The sequence below is a fragment of the Homo sapiens genome, chromosome 6 (assembly GCF_000001405.40).
Source record: "Homo sapiens chromosome 6, GRCh38.p14 Primary Assembly".
NCBI classification, from domain to species: domain Eukaryota; kingdom Metazoa; phylum Chordata; class Mammalia; order Primates; family Hominidae; genus Homo; species Homo sapiens.
In genome coordinates this window covers 28137407-28160892 of record NC_000006.12, presented here as the reverse complement: position 1 = coordinate 28160892, position 23486 = coordinate 28137407, and the positions used below count along the sequence as shown (strand labels likewise).

The window sequence follows — 23486 nt, the reverse complement described above, 5'->3', positions numbered from 1 at the left end:
CAAGGGCTCAAGGGATCCTCCCACCATATCCTTTTGAGTAGCTGGGACTACAGATGCATCCCACCACACCCGATTAACTTTTTTATTTTTTAAGTTTTTTTTGTAGAGACAGTCTTGCTGTTGCTCAGGCTGCTCTTGAACTCCTGGCCTTAAGCAATCCTTCTGCCTTGGCCTACCAAAGTGCTGGGATTATAAGCATAAGCCACTGCACCCAGGGGTTGAACCTTTCTAAACCTGCTGAATTAAGTACCCCTGCTGCAAAAGCAAGCTAGTGCTTCTAAAGGCCTGCTTTTTAACGATTTAATTTAGGAAATCACATTTCCTCCTACATATTTGCCTTCCTAAATAGGATTAACACAGTATGTTAAAAACTACGTTAAAAACAAATAAAACTGGAATGGTTTTACTTGACAAACTCTGACAATATTCTGGCTTGTGGTTTCCTTGGCATGCTGGTAATTCCTGCCTAGAGGCTGTCCAAGGGACTGAGGGTCATATGTTGTCCTTAAGGCTAAATCTTTGATGTTATAGCCCCTCTGTTAAAGAGACAGCCCCCAGTATTTTACCTTTGATGCTATAATGAACCAAGATATGGAAGACTAAAACTAGACTTGTACTTCTGTAACACTTGTATGCTGAAACACTTGGCATAGGGATGATGGCAGATCTGATGCTGAAAGCAACCTTAAAACATCATCAACTTTATTGTTTATCAACACCCTGACATATGTTGCTGTGAATGCCAAACATTAAGTCTTCTTTTTCTTTTATAGTCTTAAAAACCACAAAATATGCACACACACAGGATTCTCTTAAGGCTTGGCATAGCTAATTTTTCTAATTGTATTGCCAGTACTTCGTATCTCTTTCTCCTATTTACCTTAAATATATCAAGTCTCACAACCTCAGCATTAAGGATTTTGGGCCAGATCATTCTTTGTTGTGGGGCGGGGACAGGGGCAGGGGCGGGGCGATGCGGGGGGGTGAGGTGCTGTCCTGTGCAAACATGATGCTTAGCAGCATCCCCAGCCTCTACCTACTAGATGCCAATAGCATCCCAGCTGCCCACCAATGGTATGACCAAAAATGTCCCCAAACATTGCCAAATTTCTCCCAAAGAGAACCACTAATCTCATATACAAAAGCCTATTCTCAAGCACTTTTGGAATTATAACCTTCACACAATAGTCTTTAGTGCTTATTTTCTTTCTGGACCAATAAGGCTGACCAAATGGAGAGCTTCAGCTTTTCACACATAATTTCCTAAAGATGAATTTTTTTTGGCCTTACTCTTAGGTAGAGGCAGATCCTGATATACTATGCTAGCATACGAAAATAGGTCTGTACATTTTTGAGCACCCAAAGTGGTAAGAGACATTCTTGAAAACAGCTTAAAAATTTCTGTAGATACCACCACAAATAATCCACACAATACTTCAACAAGCATTTATTAAACGCCTACTATGTGCTCAGCACTATACTAGGCACTCGGGGGTGCAGAGATACAAATGTAAAAGTTATTATTCCTGCCCTCAAGGAGCTTACAATTTAATTTTGGAAATAAATACAAATATGAAACTGTAACACAGAGTGCTAGAAAATAATTACAAAGCAACATATTAGTAAGTACATGGACCACAGTACAAACTCAAAAGATAAGTGCTGAGGCAGCACAGAATGAGGGAGGTCATCGCATGAGGTGATGTCAATCAGGGAGAGCTCAGTCAGAAGATATAAAGGAAGAAAGGCTTTGAAGGGAGTGATGAACATGAGCTGGGACCAAAGAGCAATCTAAGCAAAAAGAATAGCATGAGAAAGGCACAGAGGCAAGAGCTTGTAAGACATCAGTAGAAGGCTGTAGGAAGTTTGAATCTGTTGAATCAAGGTGAATATGCTAGAGAGTAATGAAGGCTGATGAATATTAGGCATAGAGGTAATGGAGAATTTGGAACACCACTGCTCCATAGGAATTATCTACTGGGTGTTACTTAGTGAAAATGAAATTTTACAATAGAGATATTGTAAAAATGGGTGTTTGAGGAGGATCGTCTTTGAAAAATTATCTACTGGGTGTTACTGAAAATGAAAATTTTACAATACGGATATTGTAAAAATGGAGTTTGAGGAGGAGCACCTTAGAAACTTTATACAAGATGGGGATCCTGGGAGCAAGGAAATTGGAAAAAAAAGAATTACAGTAACCTGGGCCTCAGATCTACATGAAAAGCTATAATGGGATGAGAGAAATGGGAGATCAAGCCTCAAGGAGAAAACTGATTAAAAACTGGACTGACAGCAAGTTTTTGGACATGGAGAATGGAGAGCAGAAAAAGATAACTCCAAGGCTGGGGTAAAAATATAAAGGTGGTGACACTTTTCAGGGCAAAGGAATTACGCAATGAGGCCTGTTTAAAAAGAAAACGGGGGCTGGGGATATATGGTGATGAATCCTGTTTTCAAATATCAAGTTGTACAGGTACCTGTGGAAAATTCCAAAAGTCACAAACTGACCCACAGGGTGGGAAAAATGAAGTCATTCGAATACAAATAGTAGGTATAAACAATCAAAATGGATAAATAGGAGTATAGAAAATGAAGTGAATAAAAGACAGGGAGATTATTCTCAGTGGAGAAGAGGAGAAAGGGGAGTGGGTGGAAAGATCAACTAAAAAAAGAAAGACAGATATTAGAGAAAAAGGATCCCACAAGCCAAAGGAGGGAGAATTCAACAATATAAAATATAAATTAGATCAAAAAAGACAAGAAATAATAATAAAAAAAGGCCTTATTATTTGTCCACTGGTGAGTCTAAGAACATTTCACTGGAATGCTAAGTATGAAAGCCAGTAAAAAGAAGTTTTAAGAACAGATTAATGAAAAAGGGGGGTTGAAAAATCAAAGATATGTTTGAAAAACCATGAACAATAGAGGAGAAACAGAATGGTAGTTGGAAATGGGCAATGAGGATGAAAGCATTTCACATTTTATGCTGTAGATGAACTTACTATTGTCATCCTAACTGACCATCTGCCTGGCCTGGTACATGGATATTTCATTTCCCTCCACAATTCTACTTTCCCTTTGGCAGTTTGGAGAAAAATATATTTGAATTTATTATTGCTTTATCCTCCCAATTACTCTGTTAAATATGTTTTGTTTGCACAATTTAGCTTTGTAGTACTACAAAGCATCAACACTTAAAAATGATATAATTGTAACCCCAAAAAGCATTTTCCACCAATTTTCCAGTAATTGTAATGTATTTGCACTCTACTGCACATTCTTTTCCCCAGTACCTCTCATGACAAGCGCTACATATTTTTAAAAAGCTGGTTAGAATTACCATGTTCATTATACACACCTTAGCACAGTAGTCAGAACAGGCTCTAGAATCAAACTGTGTGGGTCAGAATCAGTTTTATCACATACTGGCTGGGTGATATTGGTCAGCTCACTCAACTAAGCCTCCGTTTCCTCATTTATAAAATGGGGGATAAAATAATACCTATTGATATGGTTTGGCTGTGTCCCATCCAAATCTCATCTTGAATTGTAGCTCCCACAATTCCCACGTGTCGTGGGTGGGACCAAGTGGGAGGTAATTGAATCACGGGGGCAGAACTTTCCTGTGCTGTTCTTGTGATAGTGAATAAGTCTCACAAGATCGGACGGTTTTATAAAGAGTTCCCCTGCACAAGTTCTCTCTTTGCCTGCTGCCATCCATGTATAAGACATGATTTGCTCCTCCTTGCCTTCCACCATGATTGTGAGGCGTCCCCAGCCATGTGGAACTGAGTCCATTAAACCTCTTTCCTTTATAAATTACCCAGTGTCAGGTATGTCTTTAATAGCAGCATGAGAACAGACTAATACATTTATCATGAGCCTGAGAAAGGCATAACAGGGTTGGGCACATAGTAAGTGCTCAATAAACGTCGGCTATTATTATTTGGAGACTCAGAACCAAGAGTAAAGTTAACTGCTCTGTTTGGGAATCAACCACCATATTCTAGCACTGCACCTTGCTCCATGGAGAAAATCTCTGAAACCTAACATGCCTCTCCCAGGGCTATGTTGGATGGCATTAGAGTTATGAAAGAACCACCTTATCATGTCAGTTCCTAAAATGAGAAGCTTAGGATGGGAGGAGAAAGTACTGATGAATAGTTCATTTCAGATGAACATAAAGATAGAATCTATAGGATAAAGGAGCTTAATGAATGCCATTCACAGTTAAGAGCTCAAAATGTCATACAGCCTAGTCAATAATATTCTATGCTAAGAGTGTGAACTTGAGACAAAGAATGATTTCTAGTGATGTCCTCAAAGAATCCACAGCCTTTTTCTATTGTCTTATACCATTTGGCTAATTCTGTATATGTGCTGTATCAGCTTTGATAATTCTTTCAAGACACAGTCTTTTCTCACACCCAATATAACACTAATTTTTCTAGTCATATTATTTTCTCCAAATTTATGCCACATGCTTAGTAATTCTGAGATTTAAGTAATCTGGCTACATATTACTCTTAATACTGACACATAAAGAGACTTTAGCTAGTACATCTGTATACATTTCAATGTGTTGCTCTGGTCTATGGCCATACCACCCTGAATGCACCCAATTTTGTTAATATGTTGCATTGCTAAAAGGACTTTTTATTGGAATAGAAGAGAAGCGTTCTTCTAAAGTGTATGGCAGGTGTGTGTGTGTGTGTACATACACATGTGTACATACACATATATTTTCCCTCTGACAATGCACCCATCATATGTAATATTTGCATACAAGGTAATACTGGCCCCAGGAAGAATCAGTATCTTACAGAGGGTAAGGCACAACTGAAACACAGAGCAAAGATCTAGATACAACCAGATTTACTTGTTTCTGGTTTCTTAAAATTTCAAGTACAAAGAAACTAGGAATGGTAACTTATAAATAAAAGAAACAAGAGAAGGGAGGATAAGAAAATAAAGGATAATCGAAAGGACTGTTGGAAACCAACATGACAAGTGATGGGTGTCTTCATTCACCAATGGCTCAATGAAATTGATGTAGATAATTCTGATGTTGTTAGTGGTCAAAGTGGGCCATAGAGAGGCAGAGAAGGAATGTTATAGGGAAAGAATTTATGATCCAAAAGGTGGTCCTCTATGACGTAAGACTTTGATTGCTTTTTTTGGCCCATCAATCATAAAATGATTATTATTTCTTTTCAGGATAGTCACAGGGTGAAATTATGAAGCTTTCATCAGAACCTATATAATTTTTTTTCTGAATAGGCTCAATGTAATCAATTTTAAGTTTAAAGGTTAATTTTGGAAAGCCCAAAATTTCTCAATTCCAACTCTGGTGAATAAGTGGCTACTCAAATGGTAAAACTAAAGTGTAAGAGTAATAGAGGGTTTTCTCATATGGTTTATTAAATGGGAATTCTAAGAGTGTTCCAAATATTTGGAAGAATATAGTAGTATGGAATAATAGTACTTGGGAATAACAAGTGACAACCCACATTGGATGCGTAAGTTCTGGCATGTTACTTTAAACCAGTCTCATTACTTTATATAGTATTCCTTGGTATAACAAAAGCCTCAAAGATGAAATATAGTGCCTGGTGATACTGAGTTTAAGAGTACATCTTTGTTGGTAGATTATAGACATGGATTACAGATGGAGTGCACCAGAGTTCAAAAGAATGAAAACCTGTGAGGTAAGGTATTAGATTACCACTGTGGATATTAAAGTCATATAAACTAATGGCAAGAAACAGATGGAGAATAACGAGTGAGGTGCTGAGGCCATCTAAAGAGATGGGTGCAAGGTAATGATAGGAGTGACAGACCATCTAGTCAGGGAGTTTGCACAGGCTGTTAAGAACCTGAGAAAGCAGTATTGTAATGGGCCAAAAAAGATGAGTATACATTCTTTGTAAGGTTTTTATCTTCCTAAAGCATCTTCGTCTCCTTCTCCTACCTGATGCCATAACTAGGATAGTGCCAACTATCTGTACCACAGTGTACAGTGGGGAGGTGGAAGGAGAGTCAGAAGTCACCAAAATGTATAACTATCCAAGCTCAAGAGCAGCTGGGCTGAGTCTCCACTCACCTCTTTCTCTGTATTACTCCCATAACCATTACTAATGTGTCCACTTTCTTTACTGACACAGGTGCTGGGACTGGGGGTGGTGAAGGATATGTACAGATGCTCAATGACTCAATGGAGTCAGTGAAGGTGATACATGAAGAAAAATGCTGGAGTGCTGTTAAAAATATAGCATTCTGAGTTTGTATGGGAATACAAATTTCCACTGACTAGAAGGAATATTAGAATAAAAAAATGCACACTTAAGCATAAATACTTTAAGTGTCTGTAAAATTTTCCTAGAAAGCTACATACAAATATAAGTTTCACACAGAAGCTACTTCTGACTCTACAGCAGCTTCTTAGATCAGATTAGGAATACAAGGGCACCTTCAAGGGAATAAATGGGAGAGGGGGATCACAGGAGATGGGAAGAAGCACAGGAACTAGGAGTAGCCAGCCTCTCTCAAACCTATAGCTACTCACCCAAAAGACAAAGTTAAGCTCTTCAAGCCATGACAAGCAACTTGCTCTAATGCTATTTTAAATTTCTAAAGGATACATTAGGTCATCAGGAGCTCCATCAGATACTTTCAAAGACAGTCAAGCTAATCAACCTTCACCAAGGCACTGGGCCCAAATTACTAAAGAGCTATCCTAACTTTGCCACCACTATAGATTCTGACACTAAAGTTGTGATGACCTTTCTGCCTTTTAGTACACTGAAAGACCTCTCACCAGTGTGTGGTTTCCCTAATGCTGAATAATGCTCAAACTCTAACTGATGTTGTTCCTAAACGCTTATGGATTCAGATTTTTCACCACTGTGGATTCTCTGATGTCGAATGAGACTTGACCTCTGAATAAAGGCTTTCCCACACTCATTACATTGGTAGGGCTTCTCCCCTGTGTGAATTCTCAGGTGTTGAATGAGACCAGTGTTCCCATTGAAAGCTTTCCCACATTCTTTACATTTATAGGGTCTTTCTCCAGTGTGGATTCTCTGATGTTCAATAAGGCCTGACTTCTGACTGAAGGCCCTCCCACACTCATTGCATTTGTAGGGTTTCTCCCCAGTGTGGCTCCTCTGATGACCAATAAGATGTGAGCTCCGCCTGAAGGTTTTCCCACACTCATCACACTCATAGGGCTTCTCCCCAGTGTGGATTCTCTGATGTCCAATGAGGTGTGAGCTATGACTGAAAGCTTTCCCACACTCATTACATTCATAGGGTCTCTCTCCACTGTGGATTCTCTGGTGCAGAATAAGGCCCGCACTCTGACTGAAAGCCTTCCCACACTGATTGCACTGATATGGCTTCTCCCCAGTGTGGATTCTCTGGTGCAGAATCAGGCCTGTGTTCTGACTGAAGGCTTTGCCACACTCCTTACAGTGATAGCGTTTTACTTTGTTGTGGATATCCTGATGTGAAAGAAGGGCTGACCTGTAACTGAAGGCTTTACCACACACATTACACTGATAGGGTTTCTCCCCAGTGTGGATTCTCCAGTGGCGAACAAGGCCTGAGCTCTGAGCAAAGCTTTTCCCACATTCATCACATTTATGTCGTCTCTCTTGTGTGGGATTTCCCCGCTGCCTCTCTAATCTGCCCAGAAGGTCTCGGGCTTCTTCATGCTCAAGACCCCTGATAACATCCCCGTTGCATTTGGCAGCTGTCTCTCCATGTGGCTGGATTCCAGTAGATATTACCTGTTTTGAAGCTAATTCCCTGTTCTCACTCCTGGTCTCACCACCTGAAATAAAAATGTAATAAACAAACATCAAGCCAATGTCACAACCTATTCTTTATGCTAGGAGAAAGGAACTGAAGATAGGGGAAAAGGAAAGTACACATGAACAGCTATAAGTAAACACAAAACTTCTGTCTCCAAAATAGCTTCTTAATAGTGACCTTGCTTAATATGAGCTAGTCAACTGGGAAAGAGGTACCATTAAAAAAAGAGAGTTAATTGGAAGGGGAACTAAAGTCAGGAAAGGATGAACTGAAGTGAGGTGAAAGTTGGGGAGAGGAATATGGAACTACTAAAAGAACTAATGAGCAGGACAGAAATGGGAAAATGCCCAGTCATCAAAAGGGAGGAGATACAATTAATTTATGTGAGAAAAATATATGTAGGAATCCCATGACAACTTGGAGAAGAAATATATGAACTCAGAGAGCACCTCTGAGATGTCAATTTCCAACTGGCAAAAACGCCAGTACCCTGGTACAAAATGTAAGGAAGTTCTGGACAGGAGAACAAAAGTTTCACGTAAGATTTCAAGAAATCTCAACATCATATCCCTCTGCTGGATCCTGAGTTAAACTTAACTATGTCTTTCAGAAAGGCTGTAGCTACTATACACATAAACAACAAACAAACAAAAAATCTAAAATGACAATAATAACCACACCTCTCCTTACCCAGGGAGAACATGTTTCTGAAATTTTCTGGCCTGTTATCTCTACACAGATCCTTCTGTGATGGATCAAGAAGCCACTCCTCTCGAATAAGGGACACAGCCATGTCTTCAATCTTCTCCAAAGTCTGAAACAAAACAAGATCCCCATTTGGGGACTGGGACTGTTCCACAGCTCAAACCTATAGAGCTTGAGAGATCCACCAGTATTGGGAGAGAATTACAACTTGGGAATGTACTATGTAAAGGGATCTGAATAGCTAGGAAGAAGAGGAAAATGCATGAGATTTACTGGGGGAAATTCAGGATCAATCTGTCCCTAGGCAAAAGAATTTTTGGGACAACTTTTTGGGTAGGTACTGCTACAAACTAGACAGTCAAGATATAGGGCAGATGCCACAAACACTGACAAGCACAGCTATGGCGTTTCAGTGAGAAGGAGCACAACTCACCTGGAACCCTGCTGTGAGAAGTGTAGCTGTCATTTCCTGGTCTCCAGAACTTCCTTTCTGGGAACGAGTAGGACTCTGGGAAGTAGACATGGCTGAGAGGAGAAAGGAGCTATGAATGAGACCAGTCCTGTCCTGTGGTTGTGGGAGCTGGCACTCACCCATTCCAAATTATTTTTATTTCAGCAGATATACATGTATGCCAAAGATTTTGCACATGAAGTGCTGATATCTTGGATTCTGGGGCCATATCTATGGCTGCCCCACAAAACATACGCACCCCGATGTCCCTGAAGTCAGACTGAAGTTACACTCAAAAATAGAAAGTATACTGGTTTCCTAACAGGAATCGCTTTTCAATTTCTTCTCTACCATCAAAACTACTTCTGTCTTTGTGGCTGTATACAGTATTTCCTTAGGTCCTAATCTCTTGGCAAACCAAGTATCAGAATCAACCAGTCTCTATTAATTAATTACCTTTCTGAAATGTCTACTATGGCTCCCAGTATTTGCTTTCTATAGATATTAAACGGCTTATTATTAAAATATAGATTACTGTATCTCAGGTAACAAGCTTTAGGACTTTAGACAAGAAGTATTAAGTGTTTTAATGCTTCTTTAGAAATATTAAAAATTCATATTTATAAACTACTCTAAATCACATTAATGAAAAAATATGAAATGCAGGGGAAGATGAGACTGGAACACCTCATTCTGCAATAAAGTAAAAAAATTCTCAAAAAAACAATGGGAAAATGTCAAGAGGATACAAGAGCCAGACTGAAGGGGCCTTCTATGGCCAAATCTGAGATGATTTAGCAAAATAAAGACAGTGGCCGAGCACAGTGGCTCATGGCTGTAATCCCAGCACTTTGGGAGGCTGAAGTGGGCAGATCGCTTGAGGCTAGGAGTTCGAGACCAGCCTGGCCAACACAGTGAAACCTCGTCTCTACAAAAATACAAAAATTAGCCAGGCATGGTGGCGTGCACCTGTAATCCCAGCTACTGGGGAAGCTGAGGATTAAGAATCGCTGGAACCCGGGAGGCAGAAGCTGCAGTGAGCTGAGATCGTGCCACTGTACTCCAGCCTGGATGACAGAGTGAGACTCTGTCTCAAAGACAAAACAAAAACAAAATAAAGACAGTAACAGAATATTTATGGAATAAATACGAATTTGAGTCCATACTGATAAATAAAAAATAATAAAATTGGGAGAAGGGAGCACTCTCCTTTACAATAAAGAAATGTAGAAGGAATGACAGAGTTAGAAAATCACTATTTCATAACCATTCTAGTAATCACTAAGTCAGTCAAGAAGTACCAATGAACACTAAAACTAGTGTTTTAGCAACAAAGTTTAATGAGGACTAAGATATTTAAATACACTCAAGAGTATCTTCCACAAATTACTTATTAGTTACAAAGGGAAAAATAGTAACTATACAATGATTAACCCTGCAAGAATAACCTTAACCAAGTCATCAAAGATAACACCACCAATAATAGGACAAATTCCTGTTGTACCCCTAAGAAGGAGTACAACATCTCTTGTTAAGATTTAGGTCATGTATCCTTGGCAGGGTGAGGTGTTCCTGCCAAATATATATGACCTCAATGTAAACATGATCAAACATCACGCAAATCCAAACTGCAGCCATTCTACAAAATAACACACCTGTACTCTTCAAAAAAAAAGAAAGGTTGAGGAACTATTCCAAAGTAAAGGAGACTAAACAGCCATGACAACTAACCACAAAGTGTGACGCCAGACTAGACTCTGAACCAGAAAGAACATAATTGGGGCAACTGTCAAAATATGAACTATGGCCTAGGTTAGTATTGTAGCAATACTACATTTCTTAATTGTGATAAATTTAGGAATTTATTTATTTAAGTTACCTAAGAAATGCTCGTCTGAGGAAATACATACTGAAATATTTCCAAATAAAGTGGCATGACAATACCAGCATAACCTCAAAAATGTATGTTGTAAATGTACTGTGGTAACAGAAATATGGCACATGTATACATATGTAACTAACCTGCACAATGTGCACATGTACCCTAAAACTTAAAGTATAATAATAAAAGGAAAAAAAATTAAAAAAAAAAAAGTCAAATTATTTAATTTGTTCATGAGTTTACCACTAGAAAGAATAATCTATATTTGAAGCCTAAACATTTAAACACAGACTTTGGGACTGGTCTGTAAACAGGATTTTAGTTCCTGGTTCTTCAGGAACTAGATAGGTATCCCAAATGGACTTTTATTTGTACTTCCCCCCCTTATCATCAATGAAATCTGGCTACTCACCTCTCTCTTGTGACTCTTGGGGCACTGGAGATTTATGTTGGGTTGCCTCAGATTGGAGCTGAGTATTTGGAGGCTCTGGTGCAGATGCTGAATGTACTACCTCCTCCCAGAGTACCCTATGTCCATGTACGCGAGCTGAGACCTGGAAACAACAGACAGTTGGATAATAAGGAATCCCTTTGCGAAATGTAATGAACAATGAAAGAGGACCACGAACACATCTACAGGGATATATGCTTGGGGAAGGAAGCAGCAGAATCTTCCTCACTTCTTAGGGACAGTAAGGAACACGAATACGTAATGAGCACAGAAAGAAAGGCATCATTTTTGCTTAGTACTAAAGGAAAAGATTTCTGCTGATGCCTTCCCTGTTACACAGAACACCAATATTTTGTACTCCTAAGGCAGAGGAAGGAGGAAAACAACAAACTTAAAGCAGTGCTATGCAGTAGAAAAATCTTTTAATAAGGAACTAGAAAGCCTGATTTCTGGTCTCAAATTTACCTTTAATTATTTGGATACCCCTGAAAAATTAACTTAAGCTTCCTATGCATCAAGTTCCCATCTGGCAAACAAGAACAATACAGTCGTAGGGATGTTATGACGACAAAAACAAAATGGATTTATATCCTTTACAAAAGTAAAAAGAACTCTACAAGTCATACTACACTAAAACTATTGTCATCCTTATCCAACAGAAACTGATGCTAAGCATCTGCTCTCCCACTGTGATGCCTATGTCCCTCTACCAAGCTTCCAGGACTCCCACAGTCATAGCACGCATACCTCCTTCTACTTACTGGTCGTCCTAGTATATCAATCTGCCTTTCCAAATCCTCTAATAGGGTCACCACCTCCTCTCCGTTCTCTAGCTGATGTTCCTTAACCAGTGTCTGGAGCTCCTCAGGTAGGATGGTCAAGAACTGCTCCAGCACCAGCAGCTCCAGGATCTGTTCCTTGGTGTTCAAATCTGGCCTCAGCCACTGATGGCAAAGGGCCCGTAGTTGGATCAGAGCTTCTCGGGGTCCTAGTGTCTCCTGGTAGCGTAACTGCCTGAAGCGCAGGCGGAACACTTCTTGGCCAAGAGGGTTACTTTCATGCAGACTAGATTCCTGGTCCCAACCATGATCCTCCTCTACCTTGACGATTACAAGATCCTCTTCAGGAGTCTGGTCTGGTGGGGATGGGGCTGAAGGCTTTCTTGATTCTTCAGCCATTAGAGCCTGAAAAGCTCAGGAAGTTCGTTTCCACTACCTTCTTTATCTTCTTAAGAGAAGACTCTTCTGAGGGCCTCTTTCTAAGGGTACTTCTTCATGAAGAAAATATGATAGTGTTAAGGCAAGTCAAAAGTCATTGTAACTAACTATGGTATCTTAACAAGTTCCTTAGTATGACACGGACTTCATGGCTCGGCCAATTAAATGATCCTCCCCACTGTTCCAGAAATAACTTCTTACTTCCTTAACTTTCTGTCATGCCAGCCATGCCAAACCCATCCATAGAAAAACCCCTTCCTTCTGCTTTCATCACCCTGTTTGGGGATGTGGAACATGGCTAAGCAAAGTCAGGAAACCATGTAGACTGGGTCTAGTTGAAATTTTGTGTTTAATCTCAGCTGGCCTTCAGGGCTGCTCATTTAACCCCTTTTAGTCTTTGATACACCAGCTGTACTAATCTGGTTCTACACGCTTCAGCTCTCAACCTTTCCCTTACTCTTAACAGATGAGACTAATTTCTACATAATCTAATTCAAGGTATTGTCAAAAACTTTCCTAACACTTTGCTCTTCTCCACCTAACATTCCTTATCCTACCTGTGCCCCTCATCTTTCCTCCTATCTCAAGGTTAACTTCCTCTACTATGGACGTGACCTCCAACTCAGAAACTCTCTATGGAGCACTCCAAGGAACCTGGATGCCCTATTGACAACTACAACCCAAAAGTCTACTCCCACACTCAAAAGGCTACATACTATATGATTTTATTTATGTGAGATTCTGGAGTGGGAATGTTTAAATGTTTATCCATTTCCCAGTTGAACAATATCTGAGTTGTTTTTGTTTTTTAATCACTATGAATAAAGCCACTATGAACATCTGCATGAGTTTTGGTGTGAATATAGTTTTCATTTTATTTGGGCAAATATTCAGAGGTAAAATTGCTGTGTCATAAAATACATATATGTATAACTTTATAAGAAACTGCAAAACTGTTTTCCAATCTGACTAGCACTTGATATTGTTTTTGTTTTTAATTTTAGATATTCTAATAGGTGTATGTGTAGTGGCAACTCATTATGGTTTTAATATCTCATATGGCTTTAGTATGCATTTCTCTACTGACTAATAATGTTGAGCATCTTTTTATGTGCTTATTTAACATCTATATATCTTCTTTAGTGAAGTATTTGTTCAAAACTTCTGCCCATTTTTAAATTTAGTTATTTTAAAATTAAGTTTTGAGTTTCTTACATCCTCTGGACACAAGTCCTTTATGAGATATGTAATTTGCAAGTATTCCCTCTTTTTCATCCTTTTCATAGGGCCTTTTGAAGAAAAAAAGTTCATTTTTTTAATTGACTGTGCTTTTGATGTCATATCTAAGAAATCTTTGCTTAATCCAAGGTTACAAATATTTTCTCCTGTTTTTTACTAAAAGTTTTATAGTTTTAGGTTTTACATTTAGGCCTATGATCCATTTTGAGTTAATTTTTATATAGAATTTGAGGTATGGATGGAGGTTCATTTTAAGGATTCTCCTTTATCTACTTAACTGTCTTTGTATATTTGTCAAATATCAGTTCACTATATGTATGTATATGTAAGGGTCTATTTCTGGAATCTCTGTTCTGTTTATTGACCTATACATCTATTCTTTCACCAATACAGAATAGTCTTGATTGTGTAACTTTTAAAATCTTGAAATCAAGTAGGTGGGTCTTGCAACTTTGTTGTTCGTTTTCAAAATTATTTTCACTTTCCTAGTTCTGTTGTCTTTTGATACACATTTTAGAATCAGTGTATTAATTTCTACAAAAAATTATTGAATTGGATTTGTATTGAATCCATAGCTCATTTTAGGGACAACTGATATCTCAACAACAGTGAGTTTTCCATTCCGTGAACACAATGTGTCTCTCCGTTGAAGTCTTCTTTGACTTCTTTCATCAGTACCGACACTACTTTCTTAAAGGACAAGATAAAATACTGTTGCCTTTAAAAATCCTTTCCTGGTGACTCCAATTGGAAATTATTTTCCTCTCATTCTATACCTCTGTTACTTAAATGTGTATTGCTTTAATGTTACTTTTCCCATAACTGTATATTTATTAGTTCCAAAGGAATTCTGACTTCAAAACTTAATTGTATTTTCCCCATGGGCAAAGGTCCATATCTTTTATCTTATTGATAGAATCGAAGAACATTAGCCATATTTACAATTGCAAACACAGAACATGTTTATATTTCTTGTAAGAGTGAGATTTAGAAACAAGACCTGATGTCCGAAAAAAGTTCAATTTCATGATCCTATTTCTTTGTGAAATATATGTCTATGGTTTCCATCCTTGGTATAGACATCATCTCTTGCCTAGAACTGCAATGGTAACTTTGGTTATGCTTTTTTCCCATTCATGTTCCACAATATTGCCTACTGTGTGTTGAAATGTGTCCCTCAAAAAGATATGCGGACATTCTAACCTCTAGTACCTGTGGATGTGACCTTATTTGGAAATGGGGCTTTGCAGATGTAATCAAGTTAAGATGAAGTTATACTGGAATGGGTAGGCCATTAAACCAATATGACTGGCACACTTTTAAAAGGAAAAAAGACACAGAGACAGACTCTGAGAAAGGAGAAGGTCATGTGAAGACACACACACACAGATGAATGAGAGCTAAGTGACTACAGAAGCAGAGATGGAGTTGTGCAGCTGCAAGCCAAGGAATGCCAAAGTTTGTCAGTAAAAACAAGAAGCTAGAAGAGCATGGGTCTGGCGACACTCTGATTTTGGACATCTAGCCTTCCTAATTATGAGACAGTAAGTGTCTATTCTATTAAACTACCAGGTTTATGATACTTTTTTTTTTTACAGTAGCCCTGTACTGCCAGAGATTTTTTAAAAATATGTAATATGACTAACATGACTCACCTCCTGAAAATATTTCAATAGGGACCAAATTTTTTAGCATGGTATGCAAGGCCCTTTATGAATGTAAACCTGGCTGGCTATATCTACTTTAAACTCACTTACATAAAGCCTTTCTGGGCTGTGGCTTTCTCATACTTCCATTCTACTACAGAGTTCTTTACTCTAGCTCAGTGGTTCAAAACTGATGGCAATATTGTCCTTACCCCCATCCCAGGGACCTTTCATAATGTCTGTAAATATTTTTGTTGTCACAACTTGGGGGTAAGGGGTGCTACTATTATCTTGTACATAGAGGCCAGGGATCCTACAATGCTCAACACAGCCCCCACCACAAAGAATTATTTGGCCCAAAGTGTCAATGCCAAGGTTGATAAATCTTGGTCCAGCTAAAACCATTCAACTCTTTTTTTTTTTGTTTGAGATGGAGTCTTGCTCTGTCGCCCAGGCTGGAGTGCAGTGGCGCGAACTCGGCTCACTGCAACCTCCGCCTCCCGGGTTCACGCCATTCTCCTGCCTCGGCCTCCCGAGTAGCTGGGACTACAGGCGCCCTCCACCACACCCGGCTAATTTTTTGTATTTTTAGTAGAGATGGGGTTTCACTGTGTTAGCCAGGATGGTCTCGATCTCCTGACCTCGTGATCTGCCCGCCTCGGCCTCCCAAAGTGCTGGGATTACAGGCGTAAGCCACTGTGCCCGGCCTAAAATCATTCAACTCTTAACTCTAATTTATCTATTACCTTTTTCATGAGTTCTTCTCTGTCATCCCCCTGCCATTTGTCATTCCTACCAAAGCATTTTTAACATGGTCCAAATATAGGACTTATCACATTGTGAGAATGTGGCCATGGCCTTATTGCAAATGTTTGTTGACAGAGGTGACCATTATCTTTGTATTTCAAAGATACTGTAGAGAATGAAGAAGAGTGTAAGTAAAGGTAGCATACCCTAAACCAGTTGTCATGAGATGCTAACATCAAGATAAAACCAGAGACCTATAGTCCACAAAGAAGAGATAGGTACTTAGGAAAAAAATCAGATTACTGTACATACAGTTCCCCATACGGATCATCAAGGCAGTGCTTATCTTTTCAGTTTTTGGAGTTGTGGCACGGGGCGAGGGGGGTTGGTTTATAGACTCTTCAACCTAAAGAAAACACAGAACTTCTTTCCAGCAAAATGTCCACAGATACAAAATTGTATACTCAATTTCGGCAGAGTTCACAGACTCAAAGGCCATCCAAGAATGCCAGGAAGGTTAAAAACAAACAAACATACAAACAAATCCTACATAGAGAGTGTGTACAGAAAAGAAAGGGAATTTGAAAATTATTTTTCAAGTTAGACAAGGCCGGGAACAACAGGGTGGAGAGTAAACTACAGATCAGAAGAACCAAGGAGCAAAAGATATGGTTAAATATATCAATTAACATTGGGGGTATAGTTCATTGATTATGACTTTACAGGAAAGTGGAGGAATTTGCTAGAATAGTGAGATTTGGGGGAAGAGTGAATTTGAGGAAGATGCTGAGATTTTGTTGAGAAAGGGTAATCAATTTGGTTTTGACAATTTGTTTTTGTTTGAATAAATTATCTATAATTTTAAGATAATTTATTTTAAAATGGTCTTAGCTAATTTTAAAATAATTTAATTTTTCAAATCAAAACAAACTCTTAAATTTTCTTAAAATAGCTACTTATGGTTTAATGTTAAAAACTTAAAGGTCAATACATGGGACATAAATTCTGTTTAGAATGTGATGTTATATAGTGGTAGTCTTACCATGTTTTCTTATAAATTTCCTTAAAGCCAAGGTTCATTTTTAACTACTGAACAACTGGCCATCTATTACTGAGCAATCCTCATCCATAATGGCTATAAAATATTATTATTATTATTTAGGGACAGGGTCTCACTATGTTGCTCAGGCTTGAGTGCAGAGTCTATTCACAGGTGCAATCCCACTACTTACCAGTACAGGAGGCTATAAAATATTTTAATGTGAAGTGCGCAGCATTCAAGAACTTTATATTGTTGATGTGGTATTAAAAAGTCTCAATAACAACACTGATGAAAACCAGCTAATTATCAGGTTTGTTCATTTTTTATACCAAATCAGCCAACAGGTCTTGCCCATTGCTCATCTTGATTATTCTATTTAGTGGCTAATTTTCCATTTTTTTAAGTCTCTTCCCTCTCTGATCAGCTGGTTTTTGAGAATTACAACCTATAAATAACTGAGTGCAAAATTACTCCAGTATGTACCTTCCTCTCAGTTTTGTGCGTACATGTCTGTATTAAGTTGGTGAGCACTTTGTGGATACAGACTGATTTTTACATAGTCTCCTTAAAGAACACCTAGTCAAGTTTACATGAGTTTAAAAGGCAATCTTTAAAGCTTCCTCTGGATTTTAAATACTGTAATCCTGTGAGATGCTGAAGGCACAACTCAATTTTAACAGTATTATTTTTTCAATAGTTGTGGAAGGAATGTATTCTTCCTTCAGACTATGTCTAATTTGAGAAATGTTTGGGAACTGAAAACAAAACAAAAAAGACATTTTCCAGGATTTAAAATCCAAGAAAAAGTAGGTGAAGCCAATACTATGCTTTGTTATCTCAAATTGCATTAGCTGAAAGTTTTAATTAACATCTATCACATTTTACATTTAAACAACAGAAATTCAAAACATGTATGTATTTGCTAAAACAATGATTGCTACGTAAATATACTCAACGGAACTAACAAACAACAGAAATATGTTTTTAAAGGTGGTGGTGGCAGTCAAAGTAGCCTGACAAAAATTACTCATGACTAACCAGAGTTTTGGAAATGGGGCCCTCCCAGAGTTCCTCGTTGGCTAACTTCAGTTTGCTTTAACAAATGAAATAGGCATTCTGATAATGTTGAATTCTGAATTACCCTGAAATTAAAAAAAAAAAAAAACTTTCGTACAATTATCTAGTCAACACACCACCAGTTTCTGAATACACTAAAGAAAGAAGAGTAACAGCAAAAATTGGTTTCCATGGATAAACGGGGCTTCCAAAAGCAAAATATGTCTTTTTTAAAAACTGAGAATTTTGTTGTGACCTAAACGCAAAAGAGCGCTAAGTGAAAACAATTCAGACTCTGGAAATAGTTGGATAAAAAATAACATGGGGGGGGCGTTCCCCATTTTAAGATAAACAAGATCGACTACAAAAACATACCACAACACGATTATCTATGAAGAAAGCTTCATAAAAGGTTCCCTCGCAAAAAGTTCAAGGGCAATTCGTGGGGACGTACTCTGCCTGCAACAGCAACTAAGGCGTCAGAATCGGTCCGCGGCGCCGAACACCGCACAGGCCCCTCTCCGGACCCCTCAGGCCAGTCCTCAGCTGCGGCCTGGACCAGCCACAAAGCACCCACTTTCCTCCGGCCCAGAGCCCGACCGTACTCACTGTGAGTTGCAGAGGCGCCCCGTCGTGGGGAAGGGAGGCTGCAACGGATAAACAGACTCGAAGGAAGGTCGGGGAGTAAAGGCGATGAAAGCTGTACTCGGACCAGGCCCCTCCGGCCACTAACTTCTAAATCTGCGGAGGCACAACACCGGCCAGCACGCATCTTGCCCCAAAGGCACTTCCGGAAGCTCTCTAGGAGTCCTGGAGGTCTACAAGCTCTATGGTCGGCCGACTGAGGGTACCGGAGTACCACGCCCCTCACCTGCTGTGTGCTGTGCCTCGGGTTCCTCCCGCGTCTGCGTGCCTCAGGCTTGCGCTGTCGCTGGGGCAGTGAACGTGCTGGGGAATAACGGACCTTGGTGTCCCCTCCGCCTTGTGTGCCCATGCAGCTCCGCGCGCTCGCTGTCAATAGTAACGGTCCCCTGGGGGTAGATATCGGACGTGGGGAGGCTGGAGCTGTGAATAGGAGGCTGGGAAAGTGTTGGAGGAGGGAGCACTTCATGGATCCTTAGGATTCCAACTGGATTCGCGTTTGGCTCCGTTACATACCCTGTACTTTACTGTTCTCGATTCATAAACATATCCAGACCTCTCACATAGAGTACAAACTTCATGAGGAATTCCTGCTAATCACAGTTCATAGTTTTGTGAAATCCCTATGGCATGGCACTTAGGAATAGCATATTTTATTAAGTATTCAAAAAAATCGTAATTAAATATATATTCTTTTTGGATCTTTACATATTTCCCACTCTTTCCTATCTTAATGAATTTCTATCGCTTACAGCATCTGCTTTGCTGCTTAGCTGTTTTAATGCTAAACCTATGATGTAAGCTTGAAGAGTAGACCCTAGGTTTAATACCACAAGATATGGGGAACAAATCTATGTTCATTCTTTCTTTGTTAGTCTTTTTTTCTTTTTTTGCCTTTTTTTTTTTTTTTTGAGACAGGGTCTCTATTGCAGAGTGTAGTGGTGTGATCATAGCTCACGGCAGACTCAACCTTCTGGGCTCAAGCAGTCTTCCCACCTTAGCCCCCCAAGTAGCTGGGACTACAGGTGTGCACCACCCTCAGCTTAAAAAAGAAAATTTGTAGAAACGGGGTGGCGGGGCGGGGCGGGGGTCTCACTATGTTGCCCAGGCTGGTCTTGAACTCCTGGGCTCAAGTGATCCTCCTGCCTCAGTCTCCCAAAGTCCTCGGATTACAGGCATGAGACACCACCCTGGCCCTGTGTTCATTCTTTACAGACCTGTTGCATTAGAGCTTTTTAACTTTTGAGACTAATAGGATTTCAGGGGTGGAGGTTGTGGCAAGTGTTATTTTTTGTTGTTTAAGTCTCATGTATTTATTTCCTTCAGCACCTTTCCCAACCACCTATTATTGAGTTCTCAGGGCTCCTCCAATTTTCACCTTAATTTCCCTCTTTATCTGCTCCTGCTGGTAGCCACCACCAACATTTCTATCCCTTCCCAATTACTAACTCCCCAATATTTTGCGTACTGACAAAGTCGTTTTGATTTAAGGGTTTTGTCATCTAATTATCACATGAAAACAAGTAAATAATAGTAAACACTGGGAAGCTACAGTGCTTCTGGACTCCTTCAAAGTAATTATTTTTGCTTTTTATTTCACAGCTGTTGCTTTCCACCTGGGATGGTAACTGGAAGTAACTGGTGACAGACTAGAACTCTACTTTCAGTTTCTTTTTTCACATTTTAAAAGTAACTTTTTTGGCTGAGCGCGGTGGCTCATGCCTGTAATCCCAGCACTTTGTGAAGCCGCGGGAGGATCACCTGAGCTCAGGAGTTTGAGACCAGCCTGGCCAACATGGCAAAAACCCATCTCTGCAAAAAATACAAAAATTAGCCAGGCATGGTAGTGGGCTCCTGTAGTCCCAGCTACTCCAGAGGCTGAGGCGGGAGAATCGCATGAGCCTGGGAGGCAGAAGCTGCAGTGAGCTGAGATCCTGCCATTGCACTCCAGCCTGGGCAATAGAGCAAGACCCTGTCTCAACATAAATAAACAAATAAATTTTTTTTAAGTCTGAAGTTGTGCACATATGTAGTTGTACAAATTCAATGTGCACACAACTATGACTGCACATACTATGTACAAAGTTGTGTACACATAGGAAGTAAAATAGCGTCATGCCATAGGTAGTTTTCTCAAACTGGACACACAGACACTGATTGTAATAGATAAAACTGATAAATTTGACTTCAAAATTTTAAACTTAAATTCTCATCAAAATTTAAATCTTCTCAAAAAAAGCACCATTAAGAAAGTGAAGAAAAAGCTACACACTGAAAAATATTTGTAATACATCTATCTGACAAAGAACTATCCAGAATATATAAAGAACTCTCACAATTTAATGAATAAGATAATTCAACACCAATAGGCAAAAGATTTAAACACTTTCTTTACAAAAGATAAAAGAATGGCCAGTATGCACACTAAAAAGTAACCATTATTCATCAGGGAAATGCAAAGTTAAAACCTCAATGAGTTACCACCACATATCCGTTAGAATGGTTGATAATATCGCCAATTTCTAAGTTATTCAGGCTTGAGAGGCTTCCTTAGTTTACTCAATGAAACATGGAGATAAAGGAGAAATTATCAGAGCCAGATTTCTCCTTTGAAGTGTTACTTTTCTCCATTAATATAACCACCATCCTCAGTTCTAATTACTTCACACCTATGTGACTGCAACAGCCTTGAGATAGCCTTCCTAACTATACAAGACGTGGTCCTTAAATATCATTATCATTCTTCCAATCACTGACCCTGAGTGGTTCCTTATCTCTAAGTAAAATTTAAACTTCTATGCTTGCCTTTTATTTTTTGTATTTTTAAAAATAAATGAAACATGATAAAGATTAATATTATATAAAATTCTTAAAAGCTGACATCTCCACCCTCAAATAGTATTTACCTAGAATGTTGGGAGATAATTCTTTAATGGCTTCTCAAATTACTCCTAGTCTTATGGTAGATTTTTCTTTGAGGTTAGGTTTTCAAGGATGTTTGTATCTCCTTCTAGATCACAGTTGTTTCCTGACCAGGATAATAAAGATAATGGCTCATTCTGGGGCAAGGCTGAGCAAAGGTTGGGCTTCCTAAGCTTGGCATTCCTCTGCTAGGTTGCAAACCCACTGTTCCATCCTAGCAGGGGAATGCCAAGCTTAGGCCCCTCTGTGGGCTTTGGGAACATAAGCTTTGGGAACAAGGGAATATAAAGCTTATGATGCCTGTGTTATTAAGTAATAAAGTCTTCTGTCTCTGACGCAGGAGTCCAGTGTCTTCTGTTAGTATCCATAAAACTGTGGCAAGTTAAATTGTTAGCTTGCAAGTAGGGTAAAAGTTTCACAATTTTCAATATGGGGTAATCACTGTTAAGTTTGGAGTGCATCCTTTTCTTGTACAAATACCCCACAAATTATATCTATATAAACAAATTTTTTCAACAAAAATGGAATATATATTGTTCTGACACTCCTTTTGTCATTTGAACGGTTGAAAGGTATTCCTCAATAGCATATGTCATATGTAATTCTTCCGCCATTGATTTACATTGATAAACAAGTGTTTTCCTTTTTTTCTACCACTAGCGTCCTGTCTGCCTTTTATTGCCTTCCAGAATGACCTTCTCCCTATCCCATACCCCTGGTCATAATTCCCCTGTACCCCCAAGTCAAAGGACTTATCTCATTGCTCACTACTCAATCTAAACACTCGTCTATTATTCTAATAACCCCCTCTCAAGACTTTATTATTCGATTTTGCACTGATCACATTCTGTCTTATATTACTTGCTATGTTGCATTTGCTGTCAATAGATTAAAGCTTCCATAGTTGAGGTGTCGGTTCTGAGATCTCCTTCCCAGTTGCAGTAAGTGGCAGCCCTTGAAATATGCAGATGTGCCATACATTTCTGACAGGAAGAGTGGTTTGCCTTTTTTTGTCAAGTAGCTAATCAATCTGATTCATCCTCTCCCTGCAATTCTAGTCTTATTCAATAATTCCTTCTGCTTAGGTAGGTCCTCATTCACCCATGTACTTATCAAGCACCCACCATGTGACAGATGCCAAGTGAGGTGAAAGTGCTGGGATGAGCACCTCTGTGGATCTCACAATGACCATCCATCTTTTGCATCCTTCTTGGTTTTTCCTTTACCCAAGTCCTGCACTTCACTCTTTACCCGTGCTTCAGAAAAGCGGAAGTTGGTTAATTAATTCCATTTGTCTAACACGGATGAGAGTGACAGCAGACAAGGGGAAAGGCAGGGAAATTCCCTTAGACTGTTCTTACATGCACTCTCACACTTAATAGTCAAAGCCACCCTATGAAATAGACACTACGTTATTAGCCTGAGTTACATAAACGAGTAAACAGAGGCTTGGAGAAGTTAAAAATAAATTGCCCTCAGTCCTAACTGGAGAGTGGTGGAGTCAGAATTTGAATCCAGGTTTAAAGAATTCTAGTGCCGGCACTCTGCACCTATTTCTCTTTGGACACTCATTTCCCCTAAGGATCAGAGAAGCTCAAAGTAGGCCACTTTTCGTCTCCGTAAGTCCGCAAGGTCCTGCGAGATCACAGTGAGCAGGGCACCAGCAAA

General features: G+C 39.3%; 1 protein-coding gene across 8 annotated transcripts, besides 3 other annotated features; it reads right to left on the bottom strand.

Annotated features, from left to right (window-relative positions):
• Positions 1–1432: 1432 nt before the first annotated feature.
• On the bottom strand, positions 1433–19258 carry ZKSCAN8 (zinc finger with KRAB and SCAN domains 8). 8 transcript variants are annotated; one of them, NM_001278119.2, is made up of 7 exons: positions 18864–19010; positions 16469–16562; positions 12069–12577; positions 11269–11410; positions 8957–9048; positions 8509–8632; positions 1433–7837 (listed from the first exon to the last, which is right to left on the bottom strand). In NM_001278119.2, exons 3-7 carry the CDS (start codon positions 12483–12485, stop codon positions 6876–6878), a joined length of 1737 nt encoding a protein of 578 aa, NP_001265048.1. In that variant the 5' UTR covers positions 12486–12577; positions 16469–16562; positions 18864–19010; the 3' UTR covers positions 1433–6875. The 8 variants fall into 8 exon arrangements, with proteins under 8 accessions (NP_001265048.1, XP_047275271.1, NP_001265050.1 ...); XM_047419315.1 differs by having other exon boundaries at positions 12069–12574; NM_001278121.2 differs by lacking the exon at positions 18864–19010 and adding an exon at positions 18630–18682 and having other exon boundaries at positions 12055–12577.
• Positions 18749–18868: an enhancer, noted in NCBI's record as "active region_24346". NCBI's record gives its function as "activates an Ori minimal core promoter by ATAC-STARR-seq in GM12878 lymphoblastoid cells {active_cell/tissue: GM12878}" and the evidence as "EXISTENCE:reporter gene assay evidence [ECO:0000049][PMID:35858748]".
• Positions 18879–18998: an enhancer, noted in NCBI's record as "active region_24345". NCBI's record gives its function as "activates an Ori minimal core promoter by ATAC-STARR-seq in GM12878 lymphoblastoid cells {active_cell/tissue: GM12878}" and the evidence as "EXISTENCE:reporter gene assay evidence [ECO:0000049][PMID:35858748]".
• Positions 23217–23406: an enhancer, noted in NCBI's record as "active region_24344". NCBI's record gives its function as "activates an Ori minimal core promoter by ATAC-STARR-seq in GM12878 lymphoblastoid cells {active_cell/tissue: GM12878}" and the evidence as "EXISTENCE:reporter gene assay evidence [ECO:0000049][PMID:35858748]".